We start from the raw sequence: 22,609 nt of genomic DNA, 5'->3' as shown, positions 1-22,609 counted from the left end.
GTCAGATCTGCACCTGGATTTTTCAGTTATGTCACCAATAAATGCCTCTTTTAACCTAAGTTACTTTGAATTGAGTTGCTGTCATCATTTCCAACTAAAAGAATACAATCTGAAAACTATATCCTGGCATCTCCTATCTGTGTCTGTGGGGTCTCCTTATTCAAAGGGATGGGGAGGTCCACTTGCACTTGCCCACTGATGTTTGCCAATCCCAACACGCCATGCCTTTGGCGCTGTCCGTGGTGCTGCTCATATCCAGCCTTCATGCTCATCTACAAGCCACCATGATTTGTGTGAAAGTTTGGAACTCAGAAAACCCAGGCTTTGCAGCAATTTGCTTTTCATAAACTTACTAGGTAGGTCTATATGTGATATATGTGATTTCTCTAATAGTGACAAATGACAACCCTTCAGCTCGACCACATGCTCAGAAGCAGGCAGCTGGGTAGACTAGGGAAGTGATAAAATCTTCATCTATTATAGAAAAGAAGTTTCAGGTGCCAAGAGCCAGGCAGTCCTGAGGCTGGAGGGCACCTCTGTCATCTTCACTGTCACATACAGTGTTTTGATATCACACCCTAATCTTTTGTTCTGTGTAATAAATCCGCATTTCTGCTTCAAAAGGTGGATGGAGAAATTATTTTCATTTTTCAGAAAACCATCAAGGGCAAAACCAACACACATTCCAGAGACAGTGGTCAGTAAATCAGACACTAAGTTTGATAGGAAGAATCTTTTTCCCTTCCCACCCCACAACCCAACATCTCCAGTTCCTTAAAGATGGTAAGTCTAACATAATCCTTCATCCTCTTTACTTAAGAACTGTTCAATTAAGTAGAGATTTAGATGAAGGAGGTAGTGATTTGTAACATCTTAAAAGATCTTACCACTATGAAATCAATCTCTGTGAAATGATAAAACCATACATCTTTTGTCAAGTAATTTATTTTTTACCATTTCCATTTGACTATCAATTTCAAGAACTCTATTTCCATCAGCGTTCTCGATGGTGAGCAACAAAAACCAACTATGATGATTTTTACCTGAAAAGGAATTCATCAAAGGATATTGGGGAGCTCATAGAATCTTTGAGGAGACTGAAGAACCAGATTAAGAGTCTATACAGCCTGAAACAATGCCTAACTGCAACTCAGGGCTTGTCCAGTGACACCACCACCCAAGCTGCCATGGGACACACACATCACCCCTTGTTCCACGAAGCCCTAATGCTGGACTCTGCCTATTGCTATTAAGACCCTCTTCTCTTGCCTCTGGAAAGTAGTTGCTGATAATTACTATGGTCACTCTTGATTCTATGCTTTCTGCTTCCTTGGCCGCTAGTTTCTGATTCAAGGTCTTGAGTAAGTATGACCAACTGTCAGAGCTTGGGTTGTGTGCCTGCCCTGGCTACAGGTGGGCTGTGAAATGAGTATCTGTCATTTTCATTATTTATAGTAGAAGATTGACTCTGTTCTTCCACATACACAAAAGAAGGGTTCAGATGCAGACTGGCTTAAAAGATTGATAAATACCCCTTTAAAGACCATATTAATAGTGGAAGATGAAAGGGAGAGTGTGTAGTTAGTTTAGGAAAAGGGGCTTTGGAATAGGTATCATCTTAGCACCTGAAATGCTAATCTTTTAATTTTACCACCTGCCTGGCCAGTGAGCCGGATCCATGGATCCCAGATCCCAGTGCGGCTTCCTGATTGATTAGAAACTAGCCCTGAATCACAACTCAATTGACCGGAACACTAATTATTTCCTCTCCTGTTTCCTACAATGGGAGTGGATTTTCTTCCAATAAACTTGTAGTTCCATATTTAATCTTCTCAAGAACCCAGTTGGTTCTATTTTAGTAGAGGCACATCCCACATAGGAGTTAGGTCCTAATGTCAGCACCCAAGTTGAAAATCATGTAGAGTGAAAAATCACCCATGATGCCTGTCTCTTTGGTTAAGCACCAGCTGAAGTCATCGGCTTGAATTTAGGGATCATGTCATATGGCGGATCATGTGTACTTTTTTTTTTTTTTTTTGAAATGGAGTTTCATTCTTGTTGCCCAGGTTGGAGTGCAACGGGGTGATCTCAGCTCACTGCAACCTCTGCCTCCCGGGTTCAAGCAATTCTCCTGCCTCAGCCTCCCGAGTGGCTGGGATTACAGACATGTGCAACCACACCCAGCTAATATTCGTATTTTTTAGTAGAGATGAGGTTTCACCATGTTAGCCAGGCTGGTCACCAACTCCTGACCTCAGGCAATCCGCCTGCCTCGGCCTCCCTATGTGTTGGGTTTACAGGCATGAGCCACTGCGCCCAGCCTCATGTGCACCTTTCAAAACCAGAATAATATTCAGCACAAAAAGATGTTGTCACTATGAGAGTCAAAAGAGAAACTAAGGGAATTAGAGGATTTCCATGTGCCATTTCATGCACACATAGTGAACGTGTTCATTGAGGGCAAACATGGGCATGGGCAGAATGATCATACTATTTAAAATTTAAATTCTTCTTTTTTTAGAGACATGGTCTTGCTCTGTTGCCCAGGCTGGAGTGCAGTGGCACAATCATAGCTCACTGCAGTTTCGAACTCCTGGGCTCAAGTGATCCTCTTGCCTCAGCTTCTAAATTCTTCTTCTTCTCTCTATTTTTACATTTTCACTAGGATCACCCACATGCCAAGTAAAACCACTCCTCTTCTTGACCTTCTTCCCTCCATCATTAGGAGAAAGTAGGAATGGCGGGGACTTTGTGCCCTCAGAATAAGATCATCCTTCCCCCTATAGATTCCATATCACCACTTCAGGTGTGACTAAAAGCCCCAGGACTCTGAAAGCCTCTGACAAGGTCCCCACTTCCCATTTCTCCATCCTACCAGCATCCCATAGCCTGGCCTCCGCTATCTGCCTTGTACTTACCAGGGCTAATCTTAACATGCCTTTTTTTTTTTTTTTTTTTTTTGAGACAGGGTCTTGCTGTGTCACGCAGGCTGGAATGCAGTAGTATGATCACAGCTCATTGCATCCTTGAATTCCTGGGCTCAATTGATCCTCCCACCTCAGCCTCCTGAGTAGCTAGGTCTATAGGTATGCACCATCACACCTGGCTAATTTTATTTTATTTTTAGAGATGTGGGCCTCACTATGTTGCTTAGGCTGGTCTGGAGCTCCTAGCTTGAAGCACCCCTCCTGCCTCAGCCTCCCAAAGCGTTGGGATTACAGGTGCTAGCTACTGTGCCCAGCCCCCTCATGCCTTTTAATCCCATATCCCGCAGTTAAGGCAAAAGGCCCAGGACTCTCAAGTCACCCCTAACTCTCCAGGCCCTCATCATCATGCTCTCTACAGAATGAGAGAGAACCCTCCAACACCCAGTGTACACCAGCACCCTCCCCTGCTTGATTTATCTCCATAGTACTTATCACTACTTGGCAGACTATGTTTTTATGATTCACTTATCTAACTCCCACCATGAGAAAGATAAACTCCACGGGGGCAAGGGGTTTCATCTGTTTTATTCACTTCTGTATGCCCACCACCCAGAAGAGTGCCTAGAATATAGTAGGATTTGATAAATGTGTGTCAAACACATGAATGGAAGAGACTCTTGTGGTTCTTCATAATCTTTGAAATAGACCCCCACCCATGCCAAATGCTATTTGGAGGCCTCATACCTTGCAGCCTCTCTTGCATAACAAACCAGCCCAAGCCTGCCCTGGCTATGCCATTTGCATCAATGTAGTACAAGGAGAATTGTACGCCCTGGACTTGCTGACAAATAGCAGCCTCGGGTGCAATCGTCTGCCTTGCATGAAATATAAAATGGTATGACTCATGCAGCTATGATCATCCATTTGCTCCTCCAAAAACCAGCAAATGCCAAGTCCTGAACTTAATCCTGTCTTTCAGGGCAGCCACTCAGAGATCCATTTCCAAGTTGTACTTACATAGCAGAAAAAAATAAATAAATAAAAAATGTTTCATAATAATGTGATCCATCACATTCTGCCAGCCAAAATTCTTTGCCTGCTCCTCAAATGTAGGGTCCACAAGCAAGAGAAAGAAGTACTGAGGTCCTCTCTGTGAGTCTCCTCTTAGAGCAAACAGTCTCCTGTTTGAGGCTCTGAACCATCATTGGTGACACAGTCCACCGAGATTTTCTACCACCATATAGAGCTGCCCAAACTTTGCCAGGGCAGTGGGCGATGCTGCCTGGCAGAACACATGCCCAAGTTAGTTCTGGAGGATTCCTCCCCCACCGCGGATTCTAATTTTAAAAGCAGCTGAAGAAAGAGGCAGGGCAGGGAGGAGCTGAGGGAGATGAAGAGATGGAAAGTACAGCAGTGTTCACTTACCGGTAAATGATGCCCTTACTCTGTAAGAAGAACAGACCGATGGCAATTTCTGCAGCGTAAAATCTGAAATTAAAAAAAAAAAAAAAGCGATGGAGAAACTCAAGGACACCATATGCTTGGCAATGCTCAGAATTCAATACAATATTGAACTAGGTGTAGGACATTAAAGAACCCATGGATGGTCAGCTATATAGCTCATAAAGTGCTGAAAGTACAGATGGATTCAAAGGGTGGTTTAGAGGGTGATGGGGTTGCCTTAAGGACAAACTGGGGGTAGGCAGAAGTTCAGCAATTGTATAGTGGAGAAGGGGACATGGGATATGATGAACTGGATGAAGGATTATAGTTTCACTAGCTGGGCAACATAGTGAGACCTTGTCTCTACTAAAAATAAAAGAAAAAAAATAACTGGGTGTGGTGGCACATGCCTGTGATCCCAGCTACTCGGAAGGCTGAGGCAAGAGGATCGCTTGATCCCAGGTGATCAAGGCTGCAGTGAGCTATGGTCAGGACCAATGCATTCCAGTCTGAGCAACAGAGTGAGACCCTGTCCCCCACCCCCCCAAAAAAGAGAGAATTATACTTTCAGACTATATAGCAAGTTAAATTATCTTAACAATAGCAGCTAACATCTGTTGAAGGTTTACCATCTCCCCAGCACCATTTTAGGCATTACCTGACTTAATCCTAATAACAATCCTGTAAGGTAGGTCCTACTAGTATCTCCCCATTCCTCAAATGAGGAAACTGAGGGTTAGAGAGATTAACTTGGGCAAGTTATATAGTGAATGAATGGCGCAGCTGGAATAAGAAACAACATCTGTCTAAAGTGTAACCTCTTATTGAAGGTCAGCACAGAAAGAAAGAGGTTTCAAGAGAACTGGGAAGCCCAGTTATGCCACAAAGGTTGGGCAGGGCTTTGGGGAACTATGTAAAGTGTCTTGACATGTCTTGTGTGACAATGGAATTAAAGCCTGTGGTCAATTAGATGTTAGAAGTAAAAGCAAAGCTAGTCCTATTAGAGTCATGCCAGGAGATACAAATGGCTAGATTTGGAAGCACAAGAATAATGCAAATCCTATCAGAACATAGTGCTCACAACCTGTCCAGGTGGGAGGAGAGGGGGCAAGCTGAACTGGGTAGGAGCCACCAAGCCTCTAGTATGACAAGGTGGGGTTCTAGATGAGCTCTGGGGGCTCTCTGGAGAGGCAATAAGATCTTAGAAAACTCCCCAGGAGAGGTTATCATTGCTAATTCCTATAACTTGCCATGTTCCTAAGCAGGGGAATGACATGATGAAATCTGTGTTCTAAAAAGAAGAGACTGTAGCTGCCTTTTGAACCGAAGGGGATGGAATTGACTCAGCAGAGGAAACACATTTCCAACAACCCAGAATCAGTCTCCCCATCACAGGAACCACAGACCATTGCCACCGAGCACCTTGATCCTTCACCCCCATGGAGTGAAGGCATCTAAGACGGAGAGTGGTGTAAGATAAAGAACATGGGCAAAGAAAAACCGGGGTCAGAATTTGGGAACTGCTTCTTACTAGCTCCATGATTTTGGGCAAGCTTTCAAAACCTTGCATCTCCATTTCCTTGTTTGTAAAGCAGGGATGGTAGCATCTCCCTCCCAGAGTTATTCTCAAGGTTAAGTGAGACGATGTTTGTTAAGCACTTAGGGCCTGGCTTATAGTAAGTTCTCAATAAATATTAGCAAATGGACACATAAAATCTACAATGATAATCCCCAAGGAAGATATAGGGCCTTTCTAAGCAGTCAGGGACATGAATTAGAAATAAATAAATAGCTGTGGTTTTAGAGCTTTGAGTTTTGTTTTATTTTTAGGAGAGACTACAGCTGTGCGCCACCATGCCCAGCTAAGTTTTTTATTTTTTATAGAGACGAGATCTCGTCATGGTGCCCAGGCTGGCCTCTAACTCCTGAGCTCAAGTGATCCTCCAACCTCAGCCTCCCAAAACACTGAGATTACAGGTATGAGCCATGGTGTCTGTCTGAGCTTCAGGTTCTTAGCTGGTGTCAGAAAAAAAAGAAGTATCTCATATTAAGCAGAACACCTTTCTTCCCTGGCTAAATATTTTTTCAAAAAGATGCCCGAGGTGTTTAAAGATCCCTCTTTGGCAAAAAAACACCCTCAAAGGAACCACTAACCTACCCATTTATCCCAAGGAGAAAGCACAGCACTAGTTCTCACTTACACAGCATGGGGCTCCTTGAACCGGCCGACTTGCTGGATGTGATACATGAGGTCGCCCCCATTCACGTACTCCATCACAAAGTACAGGCGGTCCTGGAAGAGGACAGCAAACAGCAACATTAGCATCCCGTAGCTTCTGGGGCTCCAAATGGACAGTGGGGGAAGAGCTGGAATTTATGATGAAAACTACCAGGGCTCTCTGACAGATCCCTGTTTGCTGGGCTTCCTGTTTCCCCAAGGGTAAGGTTTGTGTCACTGGAACTACGCAAGTGAGCATAGGTGATACACAGATAATTTTTTTCATTAATAATTACAACTTTGGCCAGGCATGGTGGCTCACAGCTGTAATCCCAGCACTTTGGGAGGCTGAGGTGGGCAGATCACCTGAGGTCAGGAGTTCAAGGCCAGCCTGGCCAACAGGGCAAAACTCCATCTCTACTGAAAAAAAACAAAATACAAAAATTAGCGAATCGTGGTGGCAGGCACCTGTAATCCCAGCTACTCGGGAGGCTGAGGCAGGAGACTCACTTGAACCCGGGAGGGGGATGTTGCAGTGAGCCATGATCATGCCACTGCACTCCAGCTTGGGTGACAGAGTGAGACTCCATTTCAAAAATAATAATAATAATAATAATTACAAGTTTATATTTGTTTTTGCTGGAAAATACAATTAGCATATTAATCTTGTGACTTAACTGATATTATTGTTTAGGATAAGGCTGATTTTAACAAAAAGTGGAAAATATTAAGTAAATAATGTTACAGGTGATAGATAGCTGTAGTAGCCAGCCTTTATGATGCTCCCCCCACCCACAGTGATTTTTCAGTCTCTTGGTATTTATGTTCTTGTGTAGTACCTTCCCCTAATGAATAGGACTGACCTGTGTAACCCATTGGATACTGCAAAAATGACAATGAATGACTTCCAGGAGTAGCGCGTAAAAGACCTACAACTTCCACCCTGCTCTCTCTCAGATCACTTGCTTTTTGGGAAGCCTGCCGCCATGCCATGAGGATGCTCAAGCAGTACTATGGGAAGGTACATTTGGCAAAGAACTGAGGCCTCCTGCCAGCAGCCAGCACCAACTCCAGTCCTGTGAGAGAATCACCTTGGAAACAGATCCTTCACTCGAGACAAGGCTTCAGATGACTAAAATTCCAGCTGGCAATCTGAGTGCAGCTTCCTTTGAGACCCAGAGCCAGATCAACTAGGTAAAGCATTCCCAAATTCCTGCCCCACAGAAACTGAGATAATAAATGCTTATTGTTTTAAGCCACTGAATTTTGAGGTACTCACCAATAGATAACATAGTGGCTATCAAAAACAAAAAGATGAATTATCAAGGTTTGAAAAACAGTAATCTAGGAAGGCATGTCCAGAAGTAAAAGAACTGGGGACAAAAAAAAATCTGTGTCCTAATCAGGGAAGTTTTTCAGCATGTCTTTCAAGGGATATTGTGAACTTCTTCAAGTCAGGGGCTATGCCCTTGTTGGCTGTGTAAGCCCTGTTTCTGATAGCACAACTAGCACATAGCAGGTGCCCAGAGAGGGAAAGGGCACAAGCTTTGGTGCCAAAGATACTTCATTTGGAAATCCAGCTCTGTCTCTTAATAGCTGGATGTATTTGGAGAAGTTATTCAACACCTGGGTTTCCTTGTGTGTCAAGAGGAGATAATAGTAGAACCTCAGTGATGTTGCTGGAATTAAATAAGTCAGATGTGTGTTTTGGCCCTTGGGCAACACCAATATGTGACTCGTTTCTCTCCTTCCATCAGAGGGTGTTTGCTAAATGAATGAATGAATCACTTTATCTCTTCTTAGAGACTTCTGCTTGGGTGAAATCTCTCCTTTACGCTACGTTCCTTTGGCTTGCAATGGCAGAGTCTGCGCTAACGAATTTGGGAACTGAAGTCCCTCTTATGTTCTCAGCCTAAAAAAGTCACTTCCTCTAACCCACCCAATCTAAATTAGGTCTGCCGTTATACTCTTTCATGAAAGCCTGTGGGCTTTTTTCTTTTCTTTTCTTTTTTTAATCTCTGACCACATCATAATTTGTTAATTATATTTTGAACTTGATGGTTATTTATTTCATCTATCTATTCAAGTAAAAACAAATTTACAGAGTCCTACTAGGTACCAGGTTATAGATGGGTGCTGAGGATAGAGCAGTGAACAAAACCAACAAAAATTCCTGGCCTTTGTCTTTCATTCTAGCAAGTAGACACAGAAAAGGCAATAAATGCTAAACATAATAAACAAATTATATAGAATATTAAAAGATAGCCGGGCACAGCGGCTCGTGCCTGTAATCCCAGCACTTTGGGAGACTGAGGCGGGCAGATCTCCTGAGGTCAGGAGCTCGAGACCAGCCTGGCTAACATAGTGAAACCCTGTCTCTACTAAAATATAAATACAAAAATTAGCTGGGCATGATGGTGTGCGCCTGTAGTCCCAGCTACTCGAGAGGCTGGTGCAGCAGAGTTGCTTGAACCTGGGAGGTGGAGGTTGCAGTGAGCCAAGATCACACCACTGCACTCCAGCCTGGGCAACAGAGTGAGACTCTGTCTCAAAAAATAAATAAATAAATAAAAATAAAAATAGAAGGCTAAAAGATTAAAAAGTGCCACGGGGGAAAAACAGAGCAAAGTATGGAGGATTGGGAGTACCAGCTGGATGAGATGGGAGAAAGGAGTTCCAGTTTCAATAAAGTATTCAGGATAATCTTATTTAGAAGGCGATCCTTCAGCAAAGACTTGAAGGAGATGACGAAAGCAGCTATGCAGGTATTGAGAGTGAGAGCTTACCAGGCGGAGAAACAGGCTGTGCGAAGGCCCTGAGGCTAGAGCACACCTCATGTGCTTGGAGAAGAAAGAAGAAGGGGGACAGGGTAGGAGATGAGCCCAGGGTGGTGCTGAGGGACGCATCATGTAAGGTCACGTAGGCTAACACAAAGGTTCGGGGTCTCACTCTGAAAGAAATGGACTAATGCGAAATGTGACTGAACGTTCCACAAATCCAGGAGCCATGTAAAATTTGTTTACCGCTGTGTACCAACAGCCCAGCACCATGCCTGACCAAAGCGAGCCATCAATATACATTAATTAAGTGAATAAATGGGTGATCCTCGAGGCAGCAGGAGTTACTGGGTCTCCAAAGCAGCATTCATACAGTCAGAAGGTTGGAATCAAAGCTCTGACTCCACGTTTTCTGACTACTGGGGAGGCTTGGCAAGACCATTTTACATCCCTGAGCCTTGATATCTTCATTTATAAAATGAGGATAACATATGCGATAATCTCTAACAGACTGACTGAGGGGCTGGAATGAAACATACACAGGGCTGCAAACTGTAAATGTGATGAAAATGAGATGTCCTGGCAATACTGCCTGAGTATTGAAGCCAGACAAGTGTTTTCCAAACTCAAGTTGTATCTCACTTTAATTGATGATTGAATCAATTTGGTGGGTCATGATCAACTTAAAAAAAAATAATAGAAAAAAGAGGTCAGGCATGGTGGCTGGCTCCTGTAATCCCAGAACTTTGGCAGGGCCGAGACAGGAAAATCACTTGAGGCTAGGAGTTTGAGAACAGCCTGGGGAACATAGCAAGACTCTGCCTCTACCAAAAAAAAAAAAAAAAAAAAAATAGCCAGGCATGGTGGTGAGCACCTGTAGTCCCAGCTACTCGGGAGGCTGAGGCAAGAGGATCGCTTGAGCCCAGGAGTTCAAGGCTATAGTGAGCCATGGTGGTGCCACTGCACTCCAGCCCAGGCAACAGAGTGAAACTGTCTCAAAAAAAAAAAAAAAAAAAAAAAAAAAAAGTAGAAGAAGAAAGAAAAATAATGAAATGATGAAATGGAAATTATCAGTGCATGCTGCACAGAACACCACTAAGTACTTTTTGTGGAATATATGTTTTGGTTATATTTATATGTTGCTATGGCTGAGTCACAACGTAAAAGGTGACTTGCTGTCAAAAGTTGCAAAGCTATTGTGAGGGGCTATAAAACCGGGAGAAGAGGTGGTGGGAAAGTGAAGCAAAGATTTCACCTTTTAAGTCAATACAGTATTTGAAGTCTTGTTGCACTACTTACTAACTGCAACACTGAGCAGTTATTTAATCTAATTTTGGGCTTTCTCTTCACCTGTAGATGGGACATTTTTCACTTGCCCACAGAATATTAAACAAGGACACATGTGTAGAGTGTCTAACATGATGCTGGCCATATAACAAGCATTTAATTCACCATTTAAAAAAATCTTCCATACAGCACATAGAACTTTATCTTATATGTAACAGTCATATGTGCATTTATCAAATGTGGGAGTGCCTAATAATTATAACAACAACAATAATGAAATTAAGCTTTCTTGGGTACTTACCACGTGATGAGCTGAATGCTTTACATATTTTGTCTCACTTGTCCCTCTACAAAACTCAATGTGACAAGTATAATCATTCTCTCCCTTCTAAAGAGGAGAAAGTTGAAGCTCAGAAAGGGTAAGTAACTTGCCAGTGGTCTCTCAGCTGATAAGCTGCTGCAAAGCCAGGGTCTGAACCTTAGGCATTGGGTTCCAGACTCTACACTCTCAACCCCTCATGATGCTGCCTCCAGTGGGTACATCTTGTGTGAAAGGTTCTGAGCTAGACATTGTATGGATGTGTGGATGTGTCCTCCCCTCAAAGAGCTTCCAGTCCAGGATGGGAGAGAAGGAACATGGAGATTTAGTGGTACATCAAGACAGAAGCTGGCAGGTTACAGGAGAGCACAAGTTAACCAATTTTTTTGTTTTTTTTTTTCTGTGGCAGGGTCTCACTCTGTCGCCCAGTCTGGAGTACAATGGCGTGATCTCTGCTCACTGCAGCCTCAACCTCCCAGGCTCAAGTAATCCTCCTGTCTCAGCCTCTCCAGTAGCTGGGACTACAGGTTCACACAACCACACTTGGCTAATTTTTGTATTTTTTGTAGAGACAGGGTTTTGCCATGTTGCCCACACTGACTAATTTTTAGAAAATGGTTTTTATTTCTCAGACCAATACTGCTTCACCCTCTCAACATGTCTAATGAGAAAAGGAGGTGAAATGATCACTTATATTCTCAGGGTCCAAGGCATAGGAGATTTGCCAAAAGGTCACATACAAGTTGGTGGCAAAATGCAGACAGTAAGCCAGAACTGCCGACACCCAGCCCCTGGTTCTTTGGCTTTTTTTTTTTTTTTAATAGAAAACAAGCCTAAAAATAGCATCTGTCTTTGCTGCACGTTGAAGAGAACCAAAACACTTGTTTTAAAAATTATTTTTAAAGCTAGCAGATGGCATTGGCCACAGAGAGAGAAGTAAGTGAGAGAGAGATTTCACTTGCTTGCTTTCTGCTTGGAAGAACTCGGCTTGCCCCCCAGACTCATTAGTCGGAATCCCCACATCAGGGGATCGCTCCACTGTAGGTAAGGTCGTGTTTTGTGGTATGTTTCTACCGCTAACCATATGCAGGGAAACCCTAAGATCTATCATCTTTGAACTGTACTGAGCATGTGGCTTCAACACACCAGTGCCTAAGCTATTAAATGTTACGGTTGGCATCTCACTGTCCTTTTATTTCTGAACAAACACTTAATGATGCCCACTCTATGCCAGGAGCAACTCTATTGCCAGAGATGTTTCTGTGGATAATCCACAGTGCCAGATGTTAAGGATTCCCAGGCGAGGGACAGGGGCCAGATAAATTTCCAAACGGCCGTGTTTCCCAAAATGGGTAGGAGATCATTTTAGGTAGTCCATGGATGTATGATGGTTTCACCTTTATGGCTTTGTATTTGTTTTAACGTATATTGTGGAAAATACAACTAAGCACTTACGTTCCTGATTTGATGGCTATTATTGCTGGAGAGGGGGAGTAAAATTCATGGAGTCATATAAAAGAAAAAAGGGGAAAGGTAGGGTAAGACCAGATTATGATGCACTGCCTAAGACCATCCACCCAAACGTGACTTGTCTCCCAACCAGCTTTAAGATCTTTACCAAGTTTCTCTGCCTCCTCTACTAAAATTGACTTATTTTTTAAAAATATTTTTATTAACTCCGTTAAAAAAACTTACACACAATTATTTTAAAATATTTTAACTTCATACCAAAGTCATAAATGGAAATTCATCCCCTCTATAGAAAACAAGTACATATCTGGACCGGGTGCAGTGGCTCCCACCTGTAAGCCCTTTGGGAGGTTAAGGTGGACAGATCACTTAAGGCCAAGAGCTTGAGACCAGCCTGGCCAACATGGAGAAACCCTATCTCTACTAAAAATACAAAAATTAGCCAGGTATGGTGACACACACCTCTAATGTCAGCTATTCGGAAGGCTGAGGCACAAGAATGGCTTGATCCCAGGATGTGGAGGTTGCAGTGAACCCAGATCATGCCACTGCACTCCAGCCTGGGGAAGAGTGAGACCCTGTGTCAAAAAAAAAAAAAAAAAAAAAAAGAAAGAAAGAAAAGAAAAAAATCTTTACTAAGTTTGTCTGCCTTTTCTACTAAAATTGACTTATTTTAAAAGTATTTTTATTAACTCACTTAAAAAAAACTTAAACACAATTATTTTAAAAATTTTAAATTTCATACTAAAGTCATAAATGGAAATTCATCCTCTCTGTAGAAAAGAAGTGCATATCTGGAGTCCATCATCTTTATGCAATATCCAGTCTGGCTCTGGTACATCAATCCTTTAAATGACTTATTTTAAAAATAAATGCAATGTGTTCATGTACCACCAGGTTCATCTCCCACTCCACAGTAAGCAACATCAAAATCTGGAAAATATTGTCAGAGGCAATCCAGAGCCAATCTGGAGCAGAGAAGTGAGTTTTAGAACTTTCATCGAGCGCTTATTTTTGCAAGTCATGGCATTAGGCAGGCATTAAAAGGATGAAAACGATGAATAAGGTTCAGGCTTGCCCTCAGGGAATTCAGAATCTTGGTTAAAACAAGTATACAACTAATTCAAACCCTAATCTAAAATAGAATGTGGCTGGGCACAGGGGCTCATGCCTGCAATCCCAGCACTTTGAGAGGCTGAGGTGGAAGGATTGCTTTTGAGCCCAGAAGTTCCAGGTCAGCCTGGGCAACATGGCAAGACCCTGGCTCTACAAAAAATAAAAAAATTAGCCAGGCATGGTGGCGCACACCTGTAGTCTCAGCTACTCAGGAGGCTCAGGTGAGAGGACGGCTTGTGCCCAGGAGGTCAAGGCTGCAATGAGCAGTGATTGCACCATTGCACTCCAGCCTGGGTGACAGAGTGAGACCCTGTTTCAAATAAAAGTAAATAAATAAATAAAATAGAATGCGATAAAAGAAAGTGCATGAGAGGCATAAAGAGTGAACTATGGGGGCTTCGGCTAACTAAATGGACCTCACGTACTGCCTCTAATTCTTACATATTATTCCCCTCCATAGCACCCTTAAATTTGCCTTTGTTCCCCATTCCTCCTACGAAATTATTGCAAAATCTTCCTTATCACCACACTCAGTGTTTTTTGATTAGGGCTTATTTGTTGGACTCTAATATATGAAAATCAAAAAAAGTATTTCTTGCGTATCGACTTGAAGTCCAGATTGGCTCTCTCCTACTTACTCAATTTTCCAAGAAGAACTTGTCACAGCTCAGAATTTCAACTCTCATCTCGCTGGGCTGATGAGTCTTGACTTATATTTCTATCCTCTCCCTCTCTCCTGAGCTCCAGTCAGCTCCAGCTGGCTACAGGACGTTTCTACGTGGGTGTTCCACCGTCAACTCCAATTAAAAGCTCGGAAAGGCAAACTCACCATCTTTCTCTTCAAACTGGCTAGTCTGCTTGACTTTAAAGGGCTTCTTCAAAATTGTCATTGTTATTGTGATTCTTCATTACACTATTACCGCTGCCCTCTAAGCTTCAAGTGCCTTCAGGTAATTTAAAATTCCCTTTCTCCTTAATCTCTCATAATCAGTAAATAAATAAAACTAAATGTCTGTCTGTCACTACATTATGCAAAATGGTTGGCTAGAATTTCCCAAATTTGGAACATGAGTATGAGGATAGTCTGATTTAAAATGATGACTAGGTGGGAGGTGCAGAATTCACCTGGAGGTCTCCAGAGGAAGCAAGGGAATTCAAAGAGACAATCTTCCCCTAAGACAGCTGAAAGTGGAGTGTAACATGATGCCTGTGTGACTGCCAGGGGGACACTTGCCACTTTTAATCAGATACCATGAACAGAGAAAACCGACCACGTGGGCAGCTCTATGTACCATGCTCCAAGGGAAGTTGCTGCAAGAATTTGTCTATTTAATGATCTTTAATGATTTTCCAAGCTGGTCTGTGGATTCATCCCGTCTGGAAGCTGATCCCTTTATTGCTCAGAACCATCTGTTTCTCTCCAGAGAGGCTGTGTAGTGCTGTGGTTAAGAGCCCTGGTTCTGGTATCAGCTAGTCCTGGGTTCTAGTCACAGTTATACTGGATACTTGCTCTGAGACTTTGGGTCAGTTACTTAGAGTCTCTACCTTCCCAAAAGGGGGTAATGACAGCTTGTTCTTCATAGGGGTGTTGCCAAGATACATCAGATGACGCATGTCAAGTCCATGCAAACTCAAAAAGCCTTACCCAAGTAAGTGTGCACTCAATGACATGTGTTCACACACAACTTTCCCTTCCTCTGTATTTTATAGCCTTGCAATCACTGTTAGAATCAAGCAATTGATGCTCCTCTAGCTTTTTTGTTTGTTTGTTTTCAGCTTTCTAAGCCTTGTCCCTCCACATAGAGGCCAAAGTTTTCAAAGGCTAGAACTACCTCTATTCTTCCTCGGAATTCCACAGATCTTTGATTATTGAATGAATATGCAAAGGCCACCATCAAGAAAACAGAGAGCATAAGGCTGTGTCTATTCCCACCTGCCCCAGCTCTATTTGCCTGGGTTGCATTTCTGATTCATTTCCTGTACTCAAGATCCTTGGATGGCTTTAGTTGGCTAAAGCACTAACACCTGCCAAGCTCTCACCAGTTTCCTCCCCTGGGAGGCAATGATGCCATGTTTGTACCACTAGCCTATAACTATGTCCTGCTTGAATCCAGTTAGTCTCCTTGGACTCAAGATGGTGCCTCTCACCTGGCATGAGCACCAATTATTCCCTCCCTGTAGATACAACCCCTTTTAAAAGGTTCCTAGTGAGTTAGTAGCAACCAATTGCCAGCTGATTGGGCCAGGAATAAACACCTGACCCAAGCTGAACCAACCAGATTCTCTTTCCCAGGACTATGATCTGAAATGCAGGGAATTTGCCAGATAGGCAAACTGCAAGGAGCTAACGAAGTCATGTTTACCAGGAGCAGTGAGAAACAAAGAAAGCAAGGACAAAGAAACCTAGAAATCTATTCTAGACTGCTTTAGGATTACAGATTCTAGCTCCTCATGAGGCCCAGGTACACCTTTGTCTTTGGGTGGTTTCTTTCCAATAAAATCCTCTTTTTTTGGTTACCTGCATAGATTGCATAGTGGTCAAGTCAGGGCTTTTAGGGCACCCATCACCTGAATAAGGTACATTGCACGCATTAACTAATTTCTCATCAACAATCCTCTCCAGGCTGGGCGCGGTGGCTCATGCCTGTAATTCCAACACTTTGGGAGGCTGAGGTATGGGGACTACTTGAGCCTAGGAGTTTGAGAGCAGCCTGAGCAACATAGGTCTCAACCCCATCTCTACAAAAAAATTTTAAAAAATTAGTCAGGCTTGGTGGTGCATGCCTGTGGTCCCAGCTACTCCGGAAGTCGAGGCAGGGGGATCGCTTGAGCCCAGGAGGTCCAGGCTGCAGTAAGCCATGATTATACCACTGCACTCCAGCCTGGGTGACAAAGGGAGATCCTGTCTCAAAAAAAAAAAAAAAAAAAAAAAAGTCTTCTCTGTTTTTTTGGAGCTATTGGAGCCAGTTTGGTGGGGGGCAGGGGAAGGGGTGTTCTGTTTCTTACAACTTGATCACTGCTGACTGAGACAACAGCCAGAGCCACCTGCAGCAATGCCCTTAAGTCCAACCATATCCTTGGGTACTGCTGCCAGCCCAGAGCTGAGCCCGAGTTACCAGGACCCCTGGGACATTCTCGGGGCTCATTCTTGGGCCATCAGGGGTCCACTCTACATGTGGGAATCATCCTCACCCCATCCCTGTCCTCTCTTGCATTCTGAATTGACGTTCCTCCCAGCATGCCTTGCAACTGAGTTATTGCTGGGCCATGGCAGCAAATTTGGGGAGGAAGTAACTTCTGTCCTTCAATGACTCATAAAATCTAATTCTATTTAAAAAAAAAAAGAGGTGCATATGTTCAATTGAAAAGAAAACAGTTAAAATAGATGTTTTGCTAAAGAAACTTAACTGCCTGTGCCCACTGGCAGTTGGGAAATTGCATGAATGTGCCGGGCTGACAATTGTCCCTGAGAAAAACTGCAAAAGGAATGGAAGAAACATAATTCTTTCGTACCTATGCAGCAAGGTGCACCTCCAGTCCAGCTCTAATAATGCCGGCAACCTCCATTTCATGTTTATTATATTTTATTCACCATCTCTTTCAATCCTCCCTGATTATGCCCACTTTAAAGATGATGAAATCCATATTCAGAGCTGTTAAGTGACTTCCTAGAGGTCATCTAGCAAGCAATCACAGATCCAGATTCACCTGACTGTGGAGTACAGGCTTATTATCCCTTTGTGCTTCTAGGACAATTTGCCTAAACCATCTAATGAGCAAATCTCTGAAAACTCAACCCCCTTCTGGGAGCTTTTGCATCTATTTGGATATTAACTTTGCCATCTTGTGGTACATTAAAAAAAACTTAAACAACTATATTATAACTACTTCTGCAATGATGTAAGTTCAAAAAGAAGGCACTTATCCACAGACCCCTCCCTAAATCAAATCAATATTTTGATTTGTTTATGCCCCCTTCTGATTCTTTTCCATGTGAATATTCAATTTTAACACACTTAAAATAATATCTTAAATAGGATTTAATATCCTACATTTTCTGTTAACACCGTGCTGTGCATATGTTTGAAAGATATTTTTATTCCAATATAAGATTATTTCTGATGTAACTTTGCTTTTTTAAATAAGTTTTTAAAAATCGAATTTACATCATTTAAAAATTGATTTTTAAAAAATGGTTTTGTACATTGCTGGTTGTCTCTTTCACTTTTATCCAGTATTTTGGCCACTTTTGAGATTTTTTAAGAGCCTATTAAGAATCTTTTATCTTTAAAATTCTGAGTCTCTAGAAAGAAAAACATCAAATTTACAGCATGTTATATTGGATTTGTCTCTTTTTTTTTTAAAGGTAGCTGATTCAAAAAGAATTCTGGGTCACAAAATACAAAATGACAATCCACCGGGGCGACACCGGCCTCCTCGCTGTTCCTCAAACACGCGGAGCATGCTCATGCCGCGGGCATTCACACTCACTCTTCCTGCTGCCTGGAACACTCTGCCCCCAGATAGCCACATGCCCCGCTCCCTTGCTTGCCCTGGTCTCTGCTCAGATGTCATCCTTATCAGAGAGACCTTCCTTGATGATCCTATCAAAAATAGCATCTCTCTGCCCCAATCCATCCATCTCCATCCTCTTTACTTTGTGTCATTATTATAGTTTATTATCAGTCTCCCCCAAGAGAATGTAAATTCCAAAGAAACAGGGACTTTATCTGTTTTGTACCTCATCATGGTGATGCAATGGGGCCTGATACAATTATTTCAATGAATAAGTCTTTGTTGAAATAATCAATAAGCATTAGTACCCTCTGTATACAGGCAGCATACAGGCAGTAATACCCTCTGTATACAGGCAGTAATGCCCTTTTAGGGATATGGCCTATTCCAGCTCCACTGCCTCCTCTGAAGCCCTGCTCTGCAGATCCAGGCCATGCAATGCTAGAAAATGAGCAGGAGCCAGATGACCATTTTCAAGGACATCCCCAGAAAGAGGTGTCACCTTCCTGCTCATTTTAGTCATGATAACAATGGCTTGCCTCATGTATATGCAGTGCTCCCTAAATTTTAATAATCATTCCCATGGATAAAATCTTATCTAATCCTTGCAATATCCCTGTAGGATAAGCGGAGTAACTTCCATAGTATTAAAAAAAAAAAAAAAAAAAAACACCCAAAGGGCTATTAGAAAACCTGAGCTCAAGCCCTGGAACTGCCACTTACTGATTGTGGAACTTGAGCCATTTCATCTTTCTGGGGGTCAGTTTCCATTGAATAGAAATGTGGACCATAATACTTATAGTGCTTTTGTGAAGATTAGATGTGATCGTAAGAGTGAAAATATTTTATATTTTATTTTATTTTATTTTATTTTTTGAGACAAAGTATCAGTCTGTAGCTCAGGCTGGAGTGCAGTGATGCAATCATGGCTCACTGCAGCCTTGACCTCCCAGGCTCAGTTGACCCTCCCACCACAGCCTCCTGGGTAGGTGGGACTACGGGTGCGTGCATCACTCCTAGCTAATTTTTTGTAGAGATGGGATCTTGCCATGTTGCCCAGGATGGTCTTGACCTCCTGGATTCAAGCAATCCACTTGCCTACACCTCCCAAAGTGCTGGTGTTACAGGTGTGAGCCACTGTGCCTGGCTGTAAAGTGAAAATATTCTATAAGCCAAAACCAGGAATGTGAAGTTAAGGCACAGGTAGGTTAGCAAAGGCTTCCGGGTTTGGGGTTCTAGAGTCTTGCAGAGCAAATCTTAGCTCCACTACTTAGCAGCTGTGTGACAGTGCACCAGTTACTTAACTTCTCTGAATGTCAGCATTCTTGTCTGTAAATTAAAGTTAGTAATAGTACCTTTCCAATAGAGGTATCAGGAGGATAAAATGAGATAATACAGCTAGAGTGCTGAGTAGAGTGCCCAACCTATTACTGTTAGCTGCTGCTTTTTGTTCTTGTTTGTATCATCATTGTCAAGGCCATTTTGGTGGCAACTCAACATGATGTACTAACAAAAGCTTGGGCTCTGAGCTCAATGAGCCAATGACCCAGTGCTGTGTCGAGGAAGAACTACCATGCAGCCCTGATTCTCAATCCTTTCACCTGCAAAATGGGAGAGTAGATAATCCCTTTCACTGCAAGATTTTTGTGAGGCTGGAATGAAGCAACGTTGTTGAAGACCCATGCATGGTAGAGGCTCAGATGGAACATCAAGTTTTATGCAGAGATAGGGAAGCTAAGAGGTGGAGGTAGTGTGGCTTCACTGAACAGGTGAGAGGTGACCATGGCTAGATTAGAGCACAGGCTCCTGGTGGAGCCTGGAGACAGGCCTGCAGGAGGGATTCTAACCCAGGGGTGTCAGGTGGAGTGGTCTTTGGGTGATCCACACTCAAAAGACTTCAGGCTGGGTGTGGTGGCTCATACTTGTAATCCCAGCACTTTGGGAGGCCGAGGTAAGAGGATTGCTTGAGCCTAGAAGATTGAGACCAGCCTAGGTAACATAGCAAGACCCTGTTTCTACAAAATATTTTTAAATATTAACTGGGCGTGGTGATGCATGCTTGTAGTCCTAGCTACTAGGGAGGCCGAGGCAGGAGGATCTATTGAGCCCAGGAGCCCAAGGCTGCAGTGAGCTATGATTGTTTCACTGCACTCAAGCCTGGGCCACAGAGCAAGACCCTGTCTCTAAAAATACATATACTTATACATATACACACACATACACATACACACACATACACATACACACACACACACATACACACACATATACATATACATATACATATACATATACATATACATATACATATACATATACTTATACATATACATGTTTTTTTAAAAAGATCTCAGAGCATAGCAATTAAATGCAAAACTCCTTAAAGCCAGACTGCCTGGGTTCAAATCCTGGCCCTGAAATGTACTAGCTGTGTGGCCTCAGTCCCCTGGTCTACACAATGGGAATGATGACAGAACCTATCTAAGTTGTCAAGAGACTTAAAATTGTTTGCCTTGTGCCTCACATATAGTAGGCATTATTATAAGTCTTTGAAAATAAATTTAATTTATGCAACATTAAAATATATGTGCTTAGCCCACAAAGAAGTGAGAAAAAATAATTTAAATTGGAGCATTTCACTCAATGAGCATATGCGCAGAGTGCAGGTGAGATGGAAGGGGATCTGCTCTTCCTTCAGCCAACTGCACTTGGCATCTCAGGGTCTCTTGCTTGCAGTGAGTGCGTCTCTCCAAGCACTTTTTTCTTTCAATCGATACAATCCCTAGAGATAGGTTAAAGACTTCATCAGACCCTCAACAACTGAGAAAGCAATCTGTTCCATCCTTGGACTTGTCGGTTGGGGAGATTCTGCATTGGTCTCCACATGGGAAGGCCTTCATTCCCATGTGTATTAGTCCATTCTCATTAGTCCATTAGACATACCTGAGACTCGGTAATTTATAAAGGAAAGGGGTTTAATTGACTTGGAGTTCAGCACGGCTAGAGAGGCCTCAGGAAACTTAGAATCACGGCAGAAGGGGAAGCAAACGTGTCCTTCACATGGCACCAGCAAGGAGAAGTGCAGAGCGAAATGGGGTAAAAGTCCCTCATAAAACCATCAGATCTCGTGAGAATTCACTCACTCTCATGACTAGCATGGAGGTGACTGCCCCCACGATTCAATTACTTGCATTGGTCTCCAACATGGGAGGCCTTCATTCCCATGTGTATTAGTCCATTCTCATTAGTCCATTAGACATACCTGAGATGGGATAATTTATAAAGGAAAGGGGTTTAATTGACTCGGAGTTCAGCATGGCTAGAGAGGCCTCAGGAAACTTACAATCATGGCAGAAAGGGAAGCACACGTGTCTTTCTTCACGTGGCAGCAGCAAGGAGAAGTGCAGAGCGAAGTGGGGTAAAAGTCCCTCTTAAACCATCAGATCTTGTGAGAATTCACTCACTATCATAACTAGCATGGAGGTAACCGCCCCCATGATTCAATTACCTCCCACTTGGTCCCTCCCACGACATATGGGGATTATGGGAACTACAATTCAAGATGAGATTTGGGTGGGGACACAGCCAAATCATGTCACCATGCAAGACCCAAACCCACTGGGCTCTTGTGTTCTAGGCTCTCCTGGTTCTCAGTCTCTCTTCCCTGGCACATGACAATCCCTGGAGGGGACCCAGACTTCTGCAAAATTTCCATGTACACCCAGCCCCTACTCTCTAATTCCAGAAAGCATATTGAAATATAGGTGAGTAGGTTGGTTCAATATTAAAAGAATAATCTCAAATCTACTCTATTTAATCATTTTTAAAATAATAAACCACAAAGACACTACAATGAACATTAGTCACCCATGATTCATTTCTCCCACTCTCAACATATCCAACTAAAATGGAAAACTGCTGCTGCTCAGCCTCTATGCTGGGCACAAGGTCCCTTTCTTACTTAGTTGATTTACTGGACGGAGACTGTCCTTTGCCTGATGATGTCAATGAATCCATCTGGGGATAACCAATGGAAAAGGGAGAAGGTAAGGGAGTAGGGGAGCCTAGAGGTTTAAATCCCAGCCTTGTCTCTATCACCACTTGAACACCTTTAGGCCTTAAATCCCCATGGTAAGACTAGAGATTTGGACTAGTAAGGTTAGGTGTACCCCTTTCCTGGTCTTTGCCAAGTCTCCATTGCATGATGTAAATTATCATTCACTTAATATTTTTCTTTCTATTGTCTCTTCTTCCACTCAAAACAGTTTATTTTAAAAGCCAACTTTGGCCGGGCATGGTGACTCATGCCTGTAATCCCAGCACCTTGGGAGGCCGAAGCAGGTGAATCACTTGAGTCCAGGAGTTCAAGACCAGCCTGGACAACATGGTGAAACCCGGTCTCTACTAAAAGTTCAAAAATTAGCTGGGCGTGGTGGTGTGTGCCTGTAGTCCTAGCTACTAGGGAGGTTGAGGTGGGAAGATCACTTGAGCATGGGAGATCGAGGCTGCAGTCAGCCATGATCATGCCACTGCACTC

The 22,609-nt window shown here is 42.9% G+C and overlaps 1 protein-coding gene across 3 annotated transcripts in view; it reads right to left on the bottom strand.

Annotated features, from left to right (window-relative positions):
* Positions 1-22,609, bottom strand: part of PRKCB (protein kinase C beta) — a 384,629-nt gene that overhangs the window by 41,679 nt on the left and 320,341 nt on the right. For all 3 annotated transcript variants that reach the window (NM_002738.7, NM_212535.3, XM_047434365.1), the window contains 2 exons: positions 6,572-6,663; positions 4,353-4,415 (listed from right to left, as the gene is read on the bottom strand). In NM_002738.7, coding sequence (NP_002729.2) covers positions 4,353-4,415; positions 6,572-6,663 — 155 coding nt within the window. The remainder of the gene's footprint in view (positions 1-4,352; positions 4,416-6,571; positions 6,664-22,609) is intronic.

The sequence above is a fragment of the Homo sapiens genome, chromosome 16 (assembly GCF_000001405.40).
Source record: "Homo sapiens chromosome 16, GRCh38.p14 Primary Assembly".
NCBI lineage: Eukaryota > Metazoa > Chordata > Mammalia > Primates > Hominidae > Homo > Homo sapiens.
Note: the sequence above shows the minus strand (reverse complement) of the source record. Positions and strands in the feature narration are given on the sequence as shown.